Genomic DNA, 19491 nt, shown 5'->3' on the forward strand with positions numbered 1-19491 from the left:
AGGGGCTGTGGAGAGGGAGAGGTTCAGGAGATGTTGGTCAAAAGATGCAAAATTTCAGTTAATAGGAGAAATAAGCTCAAGAGATATATTGTATAACTATAGTTTATTGTATAACTTATTATATGACTATAATTAATAACAATGTATTAAATTCTTGAAAATTGCTAAGAGATTTTAAATGTTCTCATCACAAAATAATTACACGAAGTAATGCGTACATTACTTAGCTCAATTTAGTCATTCTACAATGTATACATATTTCAAAACAACACACTGTACATAACAAATATATATAGTTTTATACATTAAAAATAAATAAATAAGCTAGGCGCGGTGGCTCATGCCTGTAATCCCAGTGCTTTAGGAAGCCAAGGAGAGCGGATCATGAGGTCAGGAGTTCAAGACCAGCCTGGCCGACATGGTGAAACCCCATCTCTACTAAAAATACCAAATTAGCCAGACATGGTGGTGCATGCCTGTAATCCCAGCTACTTGGGAGGCTGAGGCAGGAGAATTGCTTGAACCCAGGAGGCAGAGGTTGCAGTGAGCGGAAATCAGGCCATTGCCCTCCAGCCTGGGCAACAAGAGCGAAACTCCATCTCAAAAAAAAATATCTAAATCAATTCATTAAATAACTTATTAAGAATTTATGAAACTAAAAATATAGAGGAAAAATTTAGAAAATGTACATAAACCAAATAAATAGTAGGTGCTAGACAGCAAAGGGAATAAGTACCAAAAAATCCTCCTGGGATCATTATAAAATAAAAGGTAGAAAAACTAAAAAGAGAGATAATTAGAAAGAAAGAAAAAAAATCCAAAGAATGTGAATAAAAGAACATGATACAACAAGAGGACAGTTAAAGGCAAAAACAAAACAAGGACAAACAAACAAAAAACCCATTTGGATTCACAAATTCTGGTTTTTACTCTGACATGCAAAGAACTTGCAGTACTTGCTGTCAACCTCACAACAAGAAAAAACTGAACAAACTGAAAATCAACAACACTTCTTAGAATAACCAGAGAAATGAGGTCACAGGGCAAATCACCACCTCAAAAGCTGGGGACAGACATGAATACAGAGAGCCACAGTTTACAAGGTACAAAAGTTACTGCTGCAGCCAGCAGCTGGCAGGCACAAATTGCTAGAGGCTGAGTGTGGACTTGCCTAAGAGTTAGAGACCACTGGGGGCCCACTCCTTTTTTTTTTTTTTTTTTTTTTTTTTTTTTGAGTCGGAGTTTCACTCTTGTTGCCCAGGCTGGAGTGCAACGGCTCAATCTCGGCTCACTGCAACCTCCACCTCCCAGGTTCAAGCGATTCTCCTGCCTCAGCCTTCCTGAGTAGCTGGGATTACAGGCATGAGCCACCATGCCCGGCTAATTTTGTATTTTTTTAATAGAGACAGGGTTTCTCCATGTTGGTCAGGCTGGTCTCGAACTCCCGACCTCAGGTGATCCGCCTGCCTTGACCTCCCAAAGTGCTGGGATTACAGGCGTGAGCCACTGTGCTCAGCCTGGGGGCCCACTCTTAAGGTATCCTCATACTTTCATAAATTTTACCTACAGGAGTCTGAACAGGTTCTCACACTGAATTTCACAGAAAAACTCCTTTGTGTTTGTGGCAGTAGGAGAGGAAAAGTAACCATTTTGAAATAGGCCATGGAGAAAGGTTGCCATTATGAAATACACCTGAGCTTTCTCTTCTTCACGGCAGGGACCGGTCCTCAGGGTAAACTATCTTGTTAGAGCCTTGTCTAACCTACGAAAAAGACAACTGAATGCATTCCGTTCCCTTTAGTCTTCTTGTCTCACATAAGGGGAGAAGGGAAAGGCTAAGGAACTATTAAATTTAAGTTTAGCCTAAAGTCGCCTCTTTGTAAGTTCAGCCTAAAAGTTTTTCTGTACATAGTAAACTGTAACCTAACTGGACATGCAAACAGACTGTAACCTACACTTGTGACAAGTAGCTGAGTCTCAGCCAATCACTGCCATACTTCAACCACTCACAGGCAGCCACACCATGTTCAAATAAGGCAAATGCCGAGCTGTAACCAATCCAGCTGTTTCTGTACCTTGCTTCCATTTTCTGTACCTCTCTTTAATTTTCTGCCTGTAAATCCTCTTCAAACATGCAGCAGTGTCGGAGTATCTCTGAACCTATTCTGGTTTGGGGGGGCTGCCTGATTCACAAATCGTTCTTTGCTGTATTAAGCACTAGTAAATTTGATTTGTCTCAAGTTTTTATTTTAACAGATGGCATCAGAAGTGGGATCCAAAGTAGAATGTCCAGTGACACCTAGGAGCATCGAATAACCAAACAGGATCCCCACGGGGCCCACTGTGAGTATTGTGTCTCACAGCTGTTGGGGATGCTGGGTAAGCTTCGCAGATTTGTGTTTTGAGCTATCCAAGTTTGAGCAAAATTTTAATTCCAACTGGGTTCAGAAGTCATAACAAACTGGACTGGGTCCAGGATCAGACTGGATCTGATGATTAACTGGCTTGAATCCAGTTAGATAGAGGCCTCAGACGTCTGACTGGGTCAGGCAGAAACTGGCAGTACATGGCAGCACTGCAGGGGGCGCAAACTCCAGCTTTCGAAAATTTGTAGCGATTTTGTGTGTTCCATCCCCTTTGTTTCTCTTTCTTGCATGCTTAGGTAGGAAAAATCATTGGCTAAGTTGATTATGGGGATCTCGTAGCCAAAGCCAAGATTCAATGTAAAAATGGAATCCTTAATTTCTGAAGAACTGAGTACTCTACCTTCTGGCTTTGCCTATCTATATATGTATAAGTATTAGGCCCTACAAACAGCAAATAGGGCATGTAGACATGGTGAAATATTATTAAAGACAATTAAAATCTACAGTAGGGGCCAGCTGCGGTGGCTCACACCTGTAATCCCAGCACTTTGGGAGGCTGAGGCGGACAGATCACCTGAAGTCAGGAGTTAGAAACCAGCCTGACCAACATGGTGAAACCCTGTCTATTCCAAAAATACAAAAATTAGTTGGGCATGATGGTGGGCGCCTGTAATCCTCGCTACTCGGGAGGCTGAGGCAGGAGAATCACTTGAACCTGGGAGGCAGAGGTTGCAGTGAGCCAAGATTGCACCACTGCATTCCAGCCTGGGCGACAAAGCTAGATTGTCTCAAACAAACAAACAAACAAAACTATAGTAGGACATTCAAATAAACAACACTGCACTTTAAGAAGTGCATTTGAAAATGAGGGCTCCCAAATTAGTCTCATCCAGCAATGCCTGTTGATCTGCAGAAGCTTCTAAAAAGATGTCAATTTTTTTATTGCCTCTTTTAAAAGAATCATTCTAAAAGACAAACAAAAAGTTTAAGTGACTAATTGATAAGAAAAGTTAAATCTGCTAACCTTTTGGCTTAGTTACTATCCCACCCCAAAAGCAAAAAGAAAGCTATCCTGGATAAAGTGTTTATAAAAGGTAGGCCCTCGGGTAAAGTAGGCTTGCCTCTTTTTCAGAGGTATCCACGCTGAGTCCAGACACAGAGAATGCTTTCTTTGCCCTATTTAATGGGCTCCACCCTGAACTCAGTAATTTTAACCAAGAAACGGTACCTAAGTTAAAAAGACCACCTATTGAACAAAATCATGTCTCTAAAATACATCTTTCTGGCAGTCGACTGGTGATATGGTCTGCATCTGTGTCCCCACCCAAATCTCATGTCAAATTGTAATCCCCAATGTTGGAGGTGGGGCCTGATGAGCAGTGATTGGATCATGGGGTCAGATTTCTCCCTTGGTGCTGTTCTCATGATAATGAGTGAGTTTTCATGAGATCTGTATGGAATCCCACCACCCCACCTCTTGCTCCTGCTCTGGCCATTTAAGAAGACATGCCTGCTTCCCCTTTGCCTTCTGAGTGTTCTGAGGCCTCCCCAGAAGCTGAGCAGATGTCAATATCATGCTTCCTGTACAGCCTGTGGAACTGTGAGCCAATTAAGCCTCTTTCTTCTTAATGAATCACCCAGTCTTGGGTATTTCTTTATAACAGTGTAAGAACTAATACAGAAAATTGGTACCAGAAGTGGGGTATTACTATAAATATACCTGAAAACCTGAAAGCAGCTTTGGAAAACAGAGATTGAAAGAGCATGAAGGGCTCAGAAAAAGAAAGGAAGATTAAGGAACATTTTGAACATCCTAGAGACTTGCTAAATTGTTGGGACCAAAAATTTGATAGTGAAACAGACAATAAAGTCAAAGCTGAGGAGATCTCAGATGGAAATGGGAAACTTATTGGGAACTGGAATAAAGATCACTTTTGCTATGCTTTAGCAAAGAGCCTGGCTGCATTGTGTCCCTGCTCTAGGGATCTGTGGAACTTTGAACTTGAGAAACATGATTTAGTGTATCTGATGGAAGAAATTTCTATGCAGCAAAGCAATCAAGATATGATCTGGCTGCTTCTAAACAACCTATGCTCATATATGTGAGGAAAGAAATAACCTGAAACTGGAACTTATATTTAAAAGGGAAGCAGAGCATAAAAGTTTGGAAAATTTACAACCTGGCCATGTTGTAGAAAAGAAAAGCCCATTTTCAGGGGAGGAATACAAGCAGGCTTCAGAAATTTGCACAACTAAAAGGAAGGCAAGTGCTGATAACCTAGACAATGGCAAAAAGACCTCTAAGGCACTTCAGAGACCTTCAAGTCAGCCTCTCTTTATTCATCCATTTTCATGCTGCTGATAAAGACATAGAGACTTGGCAGTTTACAAAAGAAACAGGTTTATTGGACTTATAGTTCTATGTGGCTGAGGAGGCCTCGCAATCATGGCAGAAGGTGAAAGGCACATCTCACATGGCAGCAGCAAGAGAGAGAATAAGAGCCAAGAGAAACAGGTTTACCCTTATGAAACCATCAGATCTCCTGAGACTTATTCACTACCACAAGAACAGTATGGGGGAAACTGCCCCCCGATTCAATTATCTCCCATCAGGTCCCTCTCACAGTATGTGGGAATTGTGGCAGTACCATTCAAGATGAGATCTGGTTGAGGACACAGAGCCAAACCATATCACCCTCCCATCGTAGGCTTGAAGTGCTAGAAGGACTGAATGGTTTCCTGCACCAGGCCCAGCCCCTGCTGCCCTGCACAGCCTCTGGACACTGCTCCTTGCATCCCAGCCACTCCAGCTCCAGCCATGGCTAAAAGGGGTCCAGGTACAGCTTCGGCCACTGCTTCAGAGGGTGCAAGCTCTAAGCTTTGGTAGCTTCTACATAATGTTAAGCCTGTGGGTGCAAAGAACGCAAGAGTTGAGGCTCAAAAGCCTCCACCTGGATGGATTGCAGAGGATGTATGGAAAACCCTGGATGTCCAGGCAGAAGCCTACTGCAGGAGCAGAGCCCTCTCAGAGAACCTCTACTAGGGCAGTGCAGAGGGGAAATGTGGGGTTGAACCCCCCTATAGAGTCCCCACTGGGACACTGCCTAGTGGAGTTGTGAGAAAAGGGCCACCATCCTCCAGATCCTGAAATGGTAGAGCCACCAACAGCTTGCACCATGTACCTGGAAAAGCTGCAAGCACTCAACCACAGCCTGTGAGAGCAGCTGCAGGGGCTGATCCCTGCAAAGTCAAAGGAGCAGAGCTGTCCAAGGACTTGGGAGCCCACCTCTCACACTGGTGTGTCTTGAAATTGGGACATGGAGTCAAACAAGATTATTTTGGAGCTTTAAGGTTTAATAACTTCCTTCCTGGGTTTCAGACTTCAAGTGGGGCCTGTAGCCCCTTTCTTTTGGTGGATTCCTTCCTTTTGGAACAGGAGTATTTACCCAATGCCCATACTTGCATTGTATCTTGGAAGCAACTAACTTGTTTTTTTTATTTTACAGGCTCATAGGTGGAAGGGACTAGCCTTGTCTCAGATGATACTTTGGACTTTTGAGTTAATGCTGGAATTAGTTAAGACTTTGGGGGACTGTTGGGAAGGCATGATTGTATTTTGCAATGTGAGGATATAAAATTTGGAAAGGTCAGGGGAGGAATTATGTGGTTTGGATCTGTGTCCCCACCCAAAGCTCATGTTAAATTGTAATCCCCAATGTTGGAGTGAGGTCCCAATGTTGTAATCCCCAATGTTGGAGGTGATTGGATCACAGGGGCAGATTGCTCCCCTTGGTGTTGTTCTCATGATAGTAAGTTCTTGTGAGATCTAGTTATTTAAAAGTGTGTGGTACCACCTCCCAACCCCAAAAACTCTTAACATTATTTTAAATTTACATAACAAGTATTACCTTTATGGCACTTTTCTTGGTCATCTTGTCTTAACTATGCCTTTATGTACAATCTTTTTCCTTTAAGCCTAAAGTCTCAGCTCCGAGCTTTTCAGATATAAATTTTCTACCTTGTTTCACCTAACAGTCATCCCTAGAAATGCAAATTTAGGGCTGCCTAGCTAACAATTGCTTAGGGCAATGAAACAGGTAATTGGAAGATTAAGTCTGAATAGGGAAATAAAAACTATTTGAAAGCCAGCAAATGAGAATTACTTGTAAAAGCTATAAGCTCTGCTTCTCCATGTGTCTGTATGTTGATATGTATTATGTGTATAATATTTGGCAAATAAAGCTAGCTTTAAAATTGTTGATAAGATAGAAATGGCTTCAGAATTGTTAGTTAAATATAATTCAGATATTTTTGGCTAGATCTACTGGTCAAATAGGTTTATGCTATCTCTACATGTTTTTAAGGGCATAAAACTGCTGCTTCTATAATACTTTATATACTTTCTTAATTTGTCTGTAATATTTTGTTCTTGGTTTTGAGCCTCTGGATTCTGGGGTCTGGATAGGTGGCCATAGTGAGGCCTGAGGACATGTTATCAGTGGCCAGACCACCAATTACTAGGCAGAGTCAAGCCCAAGATGAGCCCCTTCTTCCTTGGCCCAGCTTTGTCTCCTAGCCATGCTGAAAGGGTTTGGATCTCCCAGGCATCATCTTCACAGGTGTCTTCTGTCTTGAGCTCTACATTTGGTATGTAAATTCAAGACCCAAATAGGCCCTGCCCTTCAAAGCCATCCTGGATACGATGTGACTACTTGAGACTCAGAACAACTGAGGAAAATATTAGCAGGAGAGTACCTGTGTCATTGGCAGGAGAGTACCTGTTTCAAAGTTCTTTTCCATAATTTAAAATCTTAAAGTTATGCTATATTGAATTAAGTAATAAGCATAAATGTCTGAATCATTTCTAAGTAAGTTAAAATACTGAAACATTAATTAGTAAACATAAATTTAAGTTTATATATTTTGGCATCTTATTTTTAGATGGTATAGAAAAGCTACATATATTTACATCTATTAATAAACTTGAGAAAACCTATCTAAAAAGTTATGAAATAGTTTTCATCTACAATTATTGATATAGAACAGTTCAAAACTACTTCCTAGGCTTTCACTAGAAATTAGGGTTACTAGTAGTTAAAACTGTAGTTAATATATGTAATTGAAACTAATAGATATAAAAAACAATTTTGTATATAGTGTCTAAAGAAAAGCAAAGTATTTTTCGGTAAGGAAAGTTGTAAAGGCATGAAAATGTGTGTTGAGAAAAAAAATAATTTTGTCTAGAAGCTGAAGATTGTTTCAAATTGAAGGAATAAAAAAGAAAGATAAATGAATAAAGTTGGAAAGAATAAAAAAATTGTAAGAGATTATAAAAAGTTTATGGAAATTTTCTGTGGTCAAAAGATGACAAATTGGACAGATCTGTTTATAAGGTTTTATTAGCTTAGTGTTGATAATACACTATGCAAAAGTAAAATTTGGTTTTCCCTTTTGAACAAGAATTTTCATGTAGTATTATTAATAAGAGGTAGTAAAAGACTTTTGTTCACCTTTTGAGTAAACTGCAAAAGAGAGACAGAGGAGAGAAGGAGACAGATTCTGTCTCATGCTGTCTTTCTCAGATCTGTTGATTGGAAAACTGAGTCTCCCCTCTATCAAAGAAGAAAGGTTTTTGCTTTCTAACCCCTTTTATCACTTTGGCTAAATGAATATTATCTTACAATGCCTTGTGATCCTATTTTGATTATTTTAAGCCTTTGACATATTTGACAGCCTTCCCAAAATCAAATTTCAAATTGTCTTTTTTTGTTGTTACCTCAAACTAACTTTGGGATGCTACAGAGGGCCCCTGCAGCATCCAAAAGACAGAGAAACAGGATTATTTGCTATGTTAAGTTTATAAGCAAGTAAAATCCTAGAGTATCATGCCTTCAAGGAGATTCATGAAAAGGATGGAAAGGACCCTGACAAGCACTCTTGAATGCGAAGTTTCTGATGTCTTTAGGATCATATCGTTTAGACTGGGTATGAATTACCAGCACTCTAATGAACACACTGACTGGCTTATGAAACTGATAATCCAATTAGGATAAAAATTAATTGAATACCAAGGAACTACTCTGCCAGATCTTCAAGCTAAGTCAGCCAGTACTGAAATTGTTTTGATATGTAGTTTAGATGAATTCCATGATCCAAGTCAAATTTACCTATGATAACCCATCTAATAAACAGTGCTATGCACGTGAATTGGAGAAACAAAACTGATATTTAAGAAGACATAAATCTTCCATTTTGCAGCTATCACTGAAGCAGCAATCGCCAAAATGAAGTTCAATCCCTTTGCGACTTCCAACCGAAACAAGAACCACAAAAGGCATTTCAATGCACCTTCCCACATTTACAGGAAGACTATGTCTTCCCCTCTTTCCAAAGAGCTGAGACAGAAGTACAACGTGTGATCCATGCCCATCCAAAAGGATGATGAAGTTCAGGTTGTACGAGGACACTATAAAGGTTAGCCAATTGGCAGAGTAGTCCAGGTTTACAGGAAGAAATATGTCCTCTACATCGAACGGGTGCAGTGGGAAAAGGCTAATGGCACAACTGTCCATGTAGGCATTCACCCCAGCAAGGTGGTTATCACTAGGCTAAAACTGGACATAGACCGCAAAAAGATTCTTGAACAGAAAGCCAAATCTCGCCAAGTAGGAAAAGGGCAAATACAAGGAAGAAACAATTGAGAAGATGCAGGAATAAAGTAATCTTATATACAAGCTTTAAAACTTGAAATGAAAAACAAAAGGAAGATATAAATCTAATGTTAAGGATGGACTCATGGAGCCTGGACAGATGCCTGGTCCTTCCTGAATCCTTAAAGCTTCCATTACTAAAAGCTCTACACTCCAAGGCCCATCATGGAAGAGGTAAGATGATCCAAATAGAATATTGGCATGTTCTAAATTGCTAAAATAGTTTATGTCCAATGTTTGGTTTGTCAAATCTACAATCCTGGGAAGGCAATCAAAACTTCATGTACATTTCTGCTACATTATAGGCCACTGAAACATTTTTAGAGGGATTTCATTCCATTGCCATTTTCAATGCATGTTTTCTGATTGTATAGAAGCTTTTCCATTCAAAAAGTCTCGTGCTGTAACAGTAGACAAAAGGTTATTAGGAAACATGTTTCTCTCATGGGACATACCTGGAAAGATTGCTAGTGATAGAGGTACTTGTTTCATCAGACAAGTTGTAAAACAATGAGATAAGGTATCATAGGTACAATCACATCAGGCAAAGCTAACTGAATTGACTGGATTTCCTTGGTCTAAAGTACTGCGGATTGATGACAGATCCACTTCCATGTGCAAAACGTTAAGTTGATCCCTTATGCAATAGTCACTGAAGGCCTATGCTCCTAATAATAAAACCTCACACATCTTCTCCTCCTAAGCTCTGATATGACTAAGTGCTGCCAGGCTTTAATGCATTATGCCCAAGTCTATTTTCACCAGGTAAAGAAAGCTTTCCATGGTCCACTGAGGACAAACCCTACATGATCTAAAGCCTAGAAACTGACTCTTCTGGAAACATCATCAGGGAAAGACTGCCCCTGCCACTTACACTGCAGCAAAACTTCAGCACCTTGAGCCTTGGGTTTACAATCTCACAGCTGAAATGGGCCCCTCCAGACTCTTCAATCTATACACTTGTTGGAGACCTTAAGGTAAAGCTAACCAGGAAAGTTTCTCCCTAAAAGCAGACAGCATCCTAGATGTGGACAGCTTTCCCAAGATCATGGATCAATACTTTTCTGCTATCATGAGACTCTTATCTCTCAATAGTTCCTTTGCTTGTGCCTCTATGAATAGAACTGCAGAAGGGGTCTCTCCTGTGTACTTGTGGGGTATACTTTTATTTGCGGAGAATTTCATAGTCAACATTAAACATGAACAACCTTATTGTACATCAATTTTAACAAATATAGCATACAAATGGCAAATAGGGGAAACTGTTGCAAGGAGAGGGAGCTCTCTGTATTATTTGTTCAATTTATCTGTAAAATTTATTAAGAAAATAAATCTATTAATTAAAAAAATTATCTGGATGTGATCAGGAAACATCCTGTCTCTTGATATATTTAACATATTAGAGCATCAGCTGATTCAATTTTTAGAGACATTCAGCTTTAGCCAAAGTGGTTGAAACCAGTATATGTATTTATTTCCCAGGTTATTTTAGAGTTTCTACTAATAACCTGACATTTATGCTTTTACAAACCTGTCAAAACTTTCAATTAAGGCAGAAAAATCACAAATGTCTGAAAGGAGTCCACATTACCCAAACACCTTTCATACAATCAGTATGCCTAACAGCTTTTGGCAACATTTTTGAAGTGTCTGGTATCTGGTGATCACAGTGTAGATAGCAAGAATATCTCCATCGTGTCAGATATTAAGGCATAGTAGGACATTATTCTTTACCAAAGTGATAAATTACTTCTAAGTATATTGAATTCAACAACAAAGAATGAATTTGCTCCATTTTTTAATTCGGAAAACAGTTTTTAAAGGCTCGCTTGTTATACCCGTGACTTTAAATTATAGAGTAAGAATGAAAACAAGATTTCTCCTCTCTTCTCCAGTGTCGGAAGTGTTTTCATCAGTGTTTCTCTACTACTATTTTAATGTTGACAGGAATGATGTCATCATGATATGTCTGCCACAGGTATTTTTTTAAATGCATTTTATCAGAGGAGTGGAAACAACTCATCCTAAGCCCTTTTTCATTATTAAAGACAAAACAGAACTATAATATAATCTCTAGGAAAAAAAAAAAAAAAACACTTCAGTAAGTTCCCACAAGTATACCTGAGTCTTTACAGCAACTGCTGCTACAAAACACTCGGAGAGATTGGCAAATTTCCAAACAATTGCTGGACATCACATACTGCATAATATAGGCAATGACTTAGAATTATTTGAAAAAATAATCTGGGTGGAAGCAAGGGTGTTAGTTTGTTCTCATGCTGCTAATAAAGACATACCCGGGACTGCATAATTTATAAAGGAAAGAGGTTTAATTGACTCACAGTTCCACATGGCTGGGAGGGCTCAAAATCATGGTGGAACAGGAAGCAAGACAGGTCTTATATGGCAGCAGGCAAGACAGAGCTTGCGCAGGGCCACTCCAATGTATAAAACCATCAGATCTTGTGAGACTTATTCACTACCACAAGAATAGTATGGGGGAAACTGTCCCTATGATTGAATTCTCTCCACCTGGCCCTGCCCTTGACACATGGGGATTACTTACTACAATTCAAGGTGAGATTTGTGTGGGGACACAGCCAAACCACATCAGCAAGTTAGGAATAGAAATTGATAATAAATATACAAGTGTGGGAGGAGGGATAGCATTGGGAGATATACCTCATGCCAGATGACGTGTTAGTGGGTGCAGCGCACCAGCATGGCACATGTATACATATGTAACTAACCTGCACATTGTGCACATGTACCCTAAAACTTAAAGAATAATAATAAAGAAAGAAAAAATAAATAAATAAATAAATATACAAGTGTGAGTAGAAAGTTAAAGGTAATACAGAAGATTAAGAAAAATAAATGGAGAGATGGTTTTGGTGAAGGTTAAAATTGAGAACTAAATTAAAGATGAACCCCATGCCACCAATTTCTGCTCCTTAGGTTTGTTTTAGATGTCAAGGACTGTGTTAAGAGAGACAAGAGTCAAATAGGCACTGAGTAGGCTTTGAGAATATTTTGTACATAACAAAGGAGAAATGTGAGAGCATTAAGATACTAAAATGTGAGAAGGATATTGAACTAAGAACCATTCTGACCCTGCCTAGGCTTTCATTAGTGCAGTGTTTAGAGACTAGGCAGGTGGGCAAATTCAAATATTATGGGTATGATACATTAAGAATCCATAGGCCAGGCACGGTGGTTCACGCCTGTAATCCCAGCACTTTGGGAGGCCGAGGCAGGCGGATCACCTGAGGTCAGAAGTTCAAGACCAGCCTGGCCAACATAGCGAAACCCCGACTCTACTAAAAAATACAAAAATTAGCTAAGCGTGGTGACGGGCACCTGTAATCCCAGCTATTCGGGAGGCTAAGACAGGAGAATTACTTGATCCTGGGAGGCAGAAGTTGCAGTGAGCCGAGATGGCGCCACTGCATTCCAGCCTGGGCAACAGAGACTCTGTCTCAAAATAAATAAATAAATAAATAAATAAATAAATAAATAAATAAATAAATAAAAATACAGGGCCAGCACTAGTATCCAATATCATGATCTCTAGTGTCATCATGAAGAAAACCCCATCTTCCACAAGCTGGACTCCAACTGCCTATTCTAGTATTTGAACACTTTCTGTGAATTGCGCTCTACACAAGCAAAATATAAGATTTTCCCTTCATATCAATGTCTTCCACTTAAATAGTCCGCTATTGCCATCCATCTTGGGCTGCTCTTCCTTGGATAAGCACAGGTATCATCACTCTTTTTGTGATAATGTTTATACAACAGATCTCTTAGAGTACCACCCGCAGCTTTCTTCTTAAGCACAGTGGAGTACAGAAGTGCATCTTAATCAGCCAAGTACACTGGTGCCCTTCTCCTTGTGACTAAGCACCTCAACATCCTTAACATCATGCACCTCTAATTTTCTCTTCCGTCTCCACTATTCCTAGGACATTCAATTAGTGGTTTTGAAATTCTAAAACAATCATGTGGGTGCTTACACAAATGGCACTGAACAGCACCATGGAGAATGTACTCAATAGCAGTTTTCTGAAGATGTAAACATGCTTTGTATACATGCAGTTTCTCAGGCCCATCTCAAAAAAACAAAAAAACTTTTTTAAAACAAAAGGCATAATGTTAAAATACAAATCATTGATAACATGGTTTTGGGGACAAGATAGGTTGACTATATTTTTAATTATCCCTATCCAAGAATGTTGCATTCTGATCATCTAACTCATTTCAACAGAACACACTATCTTGAAGAATGAATGTATTCTTCAAATATCAACTATGTTAGCTTTGTTTTTGTCAAGAATTAGAAAGCAATAAGGTTAAATTTTCAGTCAAGCCTATACTTAACACAAATCGATTGCACATTTCAAAATAGCTAGAATAATTTGAATGTTCCTAGTGTAAATAGAAGATAAATATTTAAGGGGATGGATATCCCAATTACCCTGATTTGATTTTATGAATTTATCGAATTATCACGTTATCCAAAAACATGTTCATCTAATATGTATCAATAAAAAATAAATTTAAAAATAAAAAATTCACAATATTCTTCGTGGCTAACTGAAGAATGACCAATTTATTTTGAATAGAAAACATGCAGACAGAAAAACTATCATGAAAATTTAAACATGTGAACAGAGGGTAGGAATTTTAAAACGGTAATTTTTCTTAGAACTTTAAAGTTCAAGAAAAATACCTTAAAACCAACATAAAGAATAGCAGGCACTGTACTAAGCAGTTCACCCACAGTATCATGTTTTAATCTCACCACAGCCATAAGGCGGTAATAGCATGCATAGATATCATTCCAATTTTTCCTGTTGCAAGTAACAGAAAACCAGACCCCATCTGGCTGAAGCCAGTAAGAGAAAAGACTAACAGGAGGGCCAGCCTCAGGACTCAAATACGTCACCAGGACATGGGTTGCGTCCCAGTCTCAGCTCTGCCAGTTCCTGTAGAACCCTCCTTCCAAGGTTCACAGGGTGGCTACCATAGCTTCAGGCCCTCACCTCATGATAAGACAGCAATACAACTGCCATTTCATGTCTGTTGCTGTTTCTACATTCAGTTAGAATTAAATAAATTTTCCAGTAGCACCCACAAAAATACTGAGTCCACCTGGTTGGCCTACCTAGATATATCGCCAGCCCTGATCAAGTCACTGGTCACGGGCCTGGATTTTCTGGTTCGCTTAGGCTAATCATACGTCCCATCCCAGGACTGAAGAAGTACCAGGGCTGTTGCTGGAGAGTGGCTAATGTCCCCTTTACAAATAAGGAGCTCATGGTTTAGGAAGATGAGCTTGCCAAAAATCACACACTTGTAAAATAAGTCAAAATTTGAACTTAAGTCTACTTATCTGAGCCCAAAGTCTTACAACCATTTATGGCTGTTATCCTAACACCTACGTCGCGGAACGGAAGAGTCCTAAGACTGCAAAGACCCTTCCTTTTCTTCTAGATCCAGTCTAAGTTGGTTGGTAATTTCTTTAGACCCTGCTTTCAGGGAAGTTTAAAAAAAATTACTTGCATTTGTATATTTTCCTTGTATTTTCGGCCAAATTTCTTCTAATTAAAGTACAACATAAGTTGAACCAACACAATAATTGTCATATTAAGAAAAGATAAAACAAACTTTACTCATTTCTGCTTCTGGGCATGGAGTGTGAGGGACCAGACTTAAGTTCTCAAACAACTACAAAATCAGACCAAAAAATACAATGGTTTCCAGGCACCGGACGACAGGCAGTGCAGGGCTGTGATCCTTAAGAGAAGGGAAGCAGCGAGCCAGAGTATCCAGGCCACAACCCAAATGGAGGCCAAGAGAGGAACAGCAGAGGATACAGAGGGAGGGTTCCAGGGGCCAAGACGCAATCCGAGGGGAAGCCCTTCCGGGGAGAGCTGGAGTCCTGGGGTGGCCTTCTCGAGTCTTCCCGAGCAGGTCTGTGCAGCGAGGAAACATCCGAGGCTGGAGTGAGCCACGCGGAGGAGGAAGAACAGCCCGAGCTCACAGGGGCGGGGAAGAGTTCTAGCTCGCGACAGCCCCTGGGAGGAACCCTGCACTATTTGTGGCGTCGAGTAAAGCACCGGAAGGCTCTGCTCAGGAGCGTGAACGACACCGCCCGCTGCAAGCCTGGAAAGGAACGCGTTGCCTCAATTCACTCCGATGTGTCACACACGCGGCTCAGTCACCTAGGGAGCAGGAAAAGGCCAGCGGGCCACGCAGGGCTCACCCGGGCCTGCATCCAAACGCAAACGGCCAGGCCCACGAAGCAGGAAACACAACCCGCAACGAGAAGCAAAGGGATCCACAGAGAAGGGCCAGGAGTCACGGACGACGCCAGGCAGTCGGCGCCTGCGCTTCCGCGAGCCAAGACGCCTGAGCGGCGCGGGGGGATCGGGGGATCCCCCAGAAAACTGCCCTCGACTAACAGCGCAGCGAAGGGGCGGTGCGCTCGAGACCCTGGAACGGGAACGACCACAGCCACCGCAGGGAAACAACCGGGGCCCAGGCCCAGGTGGGCGGGCGGCTGAGGAGCGTGGCTGCGCCCACAAAGCCGCCGGGGGCTGCGGACTACAGCGAAGCCGGCGCGGGGCTCGGCCCTCACTACACGAGGCCTGGGCGCCTGCACGCCCCCGTGCTTCAGCCCGCGGCTCCCGAACACCCCCGCCAGGCGATCCCCAAAAACGCCCGCTGCGCGAGCCTCGACGGGAACGCACCTGCGTCTAGACGCTGACGCCGTGCGCGGGGCGGGGGCCGGCGAGCATGCGCAGTGTGGTGTGGACAGGGCGTGGTTGGCAAGCATGCGCAATGTGGGCCGGGCGGGGCTGGCGAGCATGCGCAGTATGGGGCGGGGCGGGGCAGGGCTGGTGAGCAAGCCCGCGGGGAGCGAGCGCGGAGGCGGGCGTTGCTACGGCAACGGTGGGCGGCCAGGGAGTTGCCTGAGGGAAAAGGGGCAGACGTCCCTGGGTTCCGGTGTTCGCGGAGGAGTCGAGGCACGGAGAGGCTTCGGGGGAGGGACGGAAAGAAGGGTGGCCCGCCAGGCGGGCGGGGTCCATGGATTCGGGGTGAGGGCCGTCCGCGGCCTCGCTTTCGCCTCCTCCGAGCCGGGCCGGCGATGGCCGCAGCTGTGAGGCGAGGTCGGGTCCCGTAGCGGCGCGCAGCCTCCTTGGGGGACTCGGGGTCCTGGTTAGTTTCCACAGCTCCTTCTATCTGAGGGGTACGAATTTACGGCTGCCTAAAGCCTTAGAACAGTGATCCCACGTCGGTAATTTTAGAACCCGGTAGGACCGGCTGCCATCAGGGGCCCCAGGTGCAGGGTGGTGTCAGCTTTGAGAGGAATTGGAGCCTCGTCACCGCGCGCTTCCTGCATGAGTGGAACCTCAGAAAACGGTCAGCGGGGTTCAGAAGGCAGGAGATAACACCAAGACCCTACGTAGGATTGCATCTTTACGTCGTAGGCTTGGTCTCGTGTATTTTTATTGAGCGTGTTTAATTAGCTGAGGTTACTCGCTTTGGCACCCCAGTGATCGTTTTTGCCACCAAGCTCTGCCTCTTGAGCGTTTAATACTGGGATTTACAAAGCAACGGGTTCCTGTTAATCTTAGCTTTCAATACTGGGCAAGGGTTACGTTTCTAACCCTACCAGTGCCGCAGGCTCATTATATATTGAAGGACTCACCTGGTATTTGGTTTTCTCATTTATAAAGTGGAGTTGGAGTAGGTACTTGAAGGGTTTTCAATACCTTTAAATTCTGAATTTTAAACTCTAAAACTTAATGATACCGTAGGACTTTAAGAGAGTATAGGTTTTAAAAGCTCTTACCTTGATATTAATGACAGTGGTCTACTGTGTAGAAACTTGAGATTAAATTGCAGACTGCAGCTATGACCGGACCATTTTTAGTGTGATGCAAACTGTATCTTCTGCAGGTTATAGGCATTTTGGAAGCAGGAACTGAGAAAATTCTGGCAGTGATCTTTCAGTATTTTAAATTCCACCATTTCTCCAAGTTCAGTTGTCTTGATGAGATACAGGGTGGAACTTATTTCAAACATCTCTTGATGCCAGAATTGAACGGGAACAGAAAAGGGCTGTAGTAAGAACCATCATCAAAGCCTCCAGGACTTGAGCAGCGACTGACGTTTTTACTTCTAACCCTGGATATCTCAGAGATTTGGTTCCACTGTGCTTTTCTATCTCTCCACTCACGCCTTAGTGAGTTTGTTCTTTCGGTTGGAGTAATTTAATACAAGTGTTAGTCCTTAGAAATACATTTTGGATTAATTTCTTTCTATTTTTAGAGTTAGGCCCTCAACACAGTAAGTCTTCACTTAACATCATCCATAGGTTCTTAGAAACTGGAGCTTTAAGCCATGCAGTGTACAAGGAAACCAGTTTCACCATAGGTTAATTGATATAAATAAGAGGAAAGTTCCCACAGCACATTCCTGGTCACAAAAACATCGCCAAACTTCTAAATAAAGACCAAAGCACTTCTAATATGAAACACTGAAGTACATATGAGCTCTACATTTAAGAAATATCATTACCCAATTTCTGGTGAATCCATGAGTGACCGGGTTGTGGAGGGGCTGTGTTAAAGATAATGTTGGCCAAGCCAAAGCTCTGAAGCACCTCCCCCTACCATGCAGTTTCAAAACAAACAGGAGCCACTTCTCAGCCCGCTGGGCCTTTCTTACTGCATCGGGTATTGTCCTGCATCTCTGTGTGAATACCGTATGCTTTACGAGTTTTTATTTGACAATAATTTGTATCCTTTCATTTTCCAACCTGCTTATTCCAGTTCAGGGTGGCAGGGGGCTGAGCCCATCCAGGCAGCTCAGGACCAAGGCGGGCAACAGTCCTGGAGAGGACGGCATCCCATGGCAGGGCACACTCACACTCACTCAGACGGGGACGCCCCAGTGAGCCTCACGTGCACAGCTTTGGGATGTGGGAGGAACCCGGGGTACCTGGAGGAAACCCACAGCACATGGGGAGGACGTGCAAACTCCAAACAGACAGTGGCCCCTGCTGGGGATCAATTTTTTTTCTCATCAGCGTTATAGGGAAACAACATTAGAAGAAATATGTTCAAGGGCCTTCTGTGCCAGTTCCTAGATTACTTGAATAACTTTCTATTTCTCCTCATCACAGTATATTTTGAATACATCTGTCTTCATAAAATACACCATGTCCAAAATCTAAAAGGGCCAATTCCAAATTATTCCACCAGCTTTGAAGGGAATTGAAGCAAGAATAACAAGAGTAAGTTCTGTGTGAAAAGACCTACTTTAGATACTTCAAAGGTTGTCTCATTAATCCTTGCGGCAACCCTGCAAAGCCAGCGTTATTATACCTGCTTTATAGATGAGGAGCCTGGGGCTCAGCTGTGTCCAGTATCTTGCGCAGCAAAGCGGTAGAGTTCAATTGGAACTCAAGTTGGTCTGTCCCCATATTCTGTACTTCTGTGTTCTGGACAGACTGAAGTTAGCCAGTGTTCCTCTTGCGTTCCAGTTTCTTCATTGTTCCCTTTCTCCCCAAAATAAGCATATCATGCTGATTTCCAGCCTGCCAGTTCTTTCCTCCTACCTGTAATGTGCCATCTTCATTTCCCTCTGTGTATCTTTCAAATGCCAGTTTAACTGGTTTTTCCAAGTCTCCAGTGTTAGCCTGAAGTTTTGTAGTACTTATGTATCATGTTATATTTAGCAATGGATTAATTCATAGTAATTAACCATTTGTATTAATGTGTCCTCAGGAGCTCAGGGGTGAACTATTTGAGGACAGGGATGAGTCGAAGCATAACTGACTTGAGTTCACCCCCTTCCTCCAGAACCAGAATGTGTAGCTTAGTGCCACCCTGTAGCAGGCATTCCTGCTGCTTCAGGATCTGTTAGACTCTTACAGAGCATCCTCACAAACTTCATGGTTTTTCTGTGCACTGTAACTTTGACTTTCTGTTGACCACGTCTTTGCAGCAGAAGAATAGAAGGAAGGTGATAGGATGTGATGATAGAATTTGTGATAGCCAAGCAACAACTTTTCCTAATTCGGCATGTTAAAAAATAAGGTACGCTATTCTTTTCTTAAACATACACGTTATTTGACTCATGAAATGTATTTTAATTCAGCCATTTGAGAGTATAAAAACTAGTTTGCAAACCCTGCTTGAACTAGGAATTGTCAGCAGGAATGGGCGATGCCAAGTGTCGCATGGGGCAGTGGACAAGCCAATGGAAAAACAATCTCTGGCGATATTTACTGCAAGCATCTCTTAGCTGTTTGGTGATTTTTATTCTGCACAGGAAATTATTAAGTTTTCACAAAAAGGCATAAGCTGAAATGGCAGGAGTCTCCTTAGTAGTTGCCTGGA

General features: G+C 42.1%; 1 protein-coding gene, 1 long non-coding RNA gene and 1 pseudogene across 34 annotated transcripts in view, besides 2 other annotated features; 2 read left to right on the forward strand and 1 right to left on the reverse strand.

The window, feature by feature from the left end:
• Nucleotides 1-15831, reverse strand: part of RNF32-DT (RNF32 divergent transcript) — a 168437-nt gene extending 152606 nt beyond the window's left edge. The window contains exon 1 of the long non-coding RNA NR_026865.2: nucleotides 14244-15831. This is a non-coding gene — a long non-coding RNA (RNF32 divergent transcript). The remainder of the gene's footprint in view (nucleotides 1-14243) is intronic.
• RPL26P23 (ribosomal protein L26 pseudogene 23) lies at nucleotides 8610-9116 on the forward strand (annotated as a pseudogene).
• RNF32 (ring finger protein 32) overlaps nucleotides 15500-19491 on the forward strand; it is a 36927-nt gene continuing 32935 nt past the window's right edge. For 5 of the 33 annotated variants that reach the window (XR_007059986.1, XM_047419899.1, XM_011515805.4 and 2 more), the window contains exons 1-3: nucleotides 16070-16300; nucleotides 18273-18383; nucleotides 19097-19188. Coding sequence is in view for 30 of the 33 variants with exons in the window: in XM_047419899.1 (XP_047275855.1) it covers nucleotides 19174-19188 (15 nt within the window). In the remaining 3 variants the exon portion in view is untranslated. Of the gene's footprint in view, nucleotides 15630-15936; nucleotides 16034-16069; nucleotides 17331-18272; nucleotides 18384-19096; nucleotides 19189-19491 lie in introns of those variants that run through there. The other 28 variants (XR_007059985.1, NM_001184996.2, XM_047419901.1 and 25 more) reach the window with 20 other exon arrangements.
• Nucleotides 15501-16092: an enhancer, noted in NCBI's record as "H3K27ac-H3K4me1 hESC enhancer chr7:156432899-156433490 (GRCh37/hg19 assembly coordinates)". NCBI's record gives its function as "activates a minimal SCP1, AML or CMV promoter by ChIP-STARR-seq in primed H9 embryonic stem cells {active_cell/tissue: H9 hESC(primed)}" and the evidence as "EXISTENCE:reporter gene assay evidence [ECO:0000049][PMID:30033119]".
• Nucleotides 15661-15970: a silencer, noted in NCBI's record as "silent region_18851". NCBI's record gives its function as "represses an Ori minimal core promoter by ATAC-STARR-seq in GM12878 lymphoblastoid cells {active_cell/tissue: GM12878}" and the evidence as "EXISTENCE:reporter gene assay evidence [ECO:0000049][PMID:35858748]".

Source organism: Homo sapiens, chromosome 7, assembly GCF_000001405.40.
Source record: "Homo sapiens chromosome 7, GRCh38.p14 Primary Assembly".
Lineage (NCBI taxonomy): Eukaryota > Metazoa > Chordata > Mammalia > Primates > Hominidae > Homo > Homo sapiens.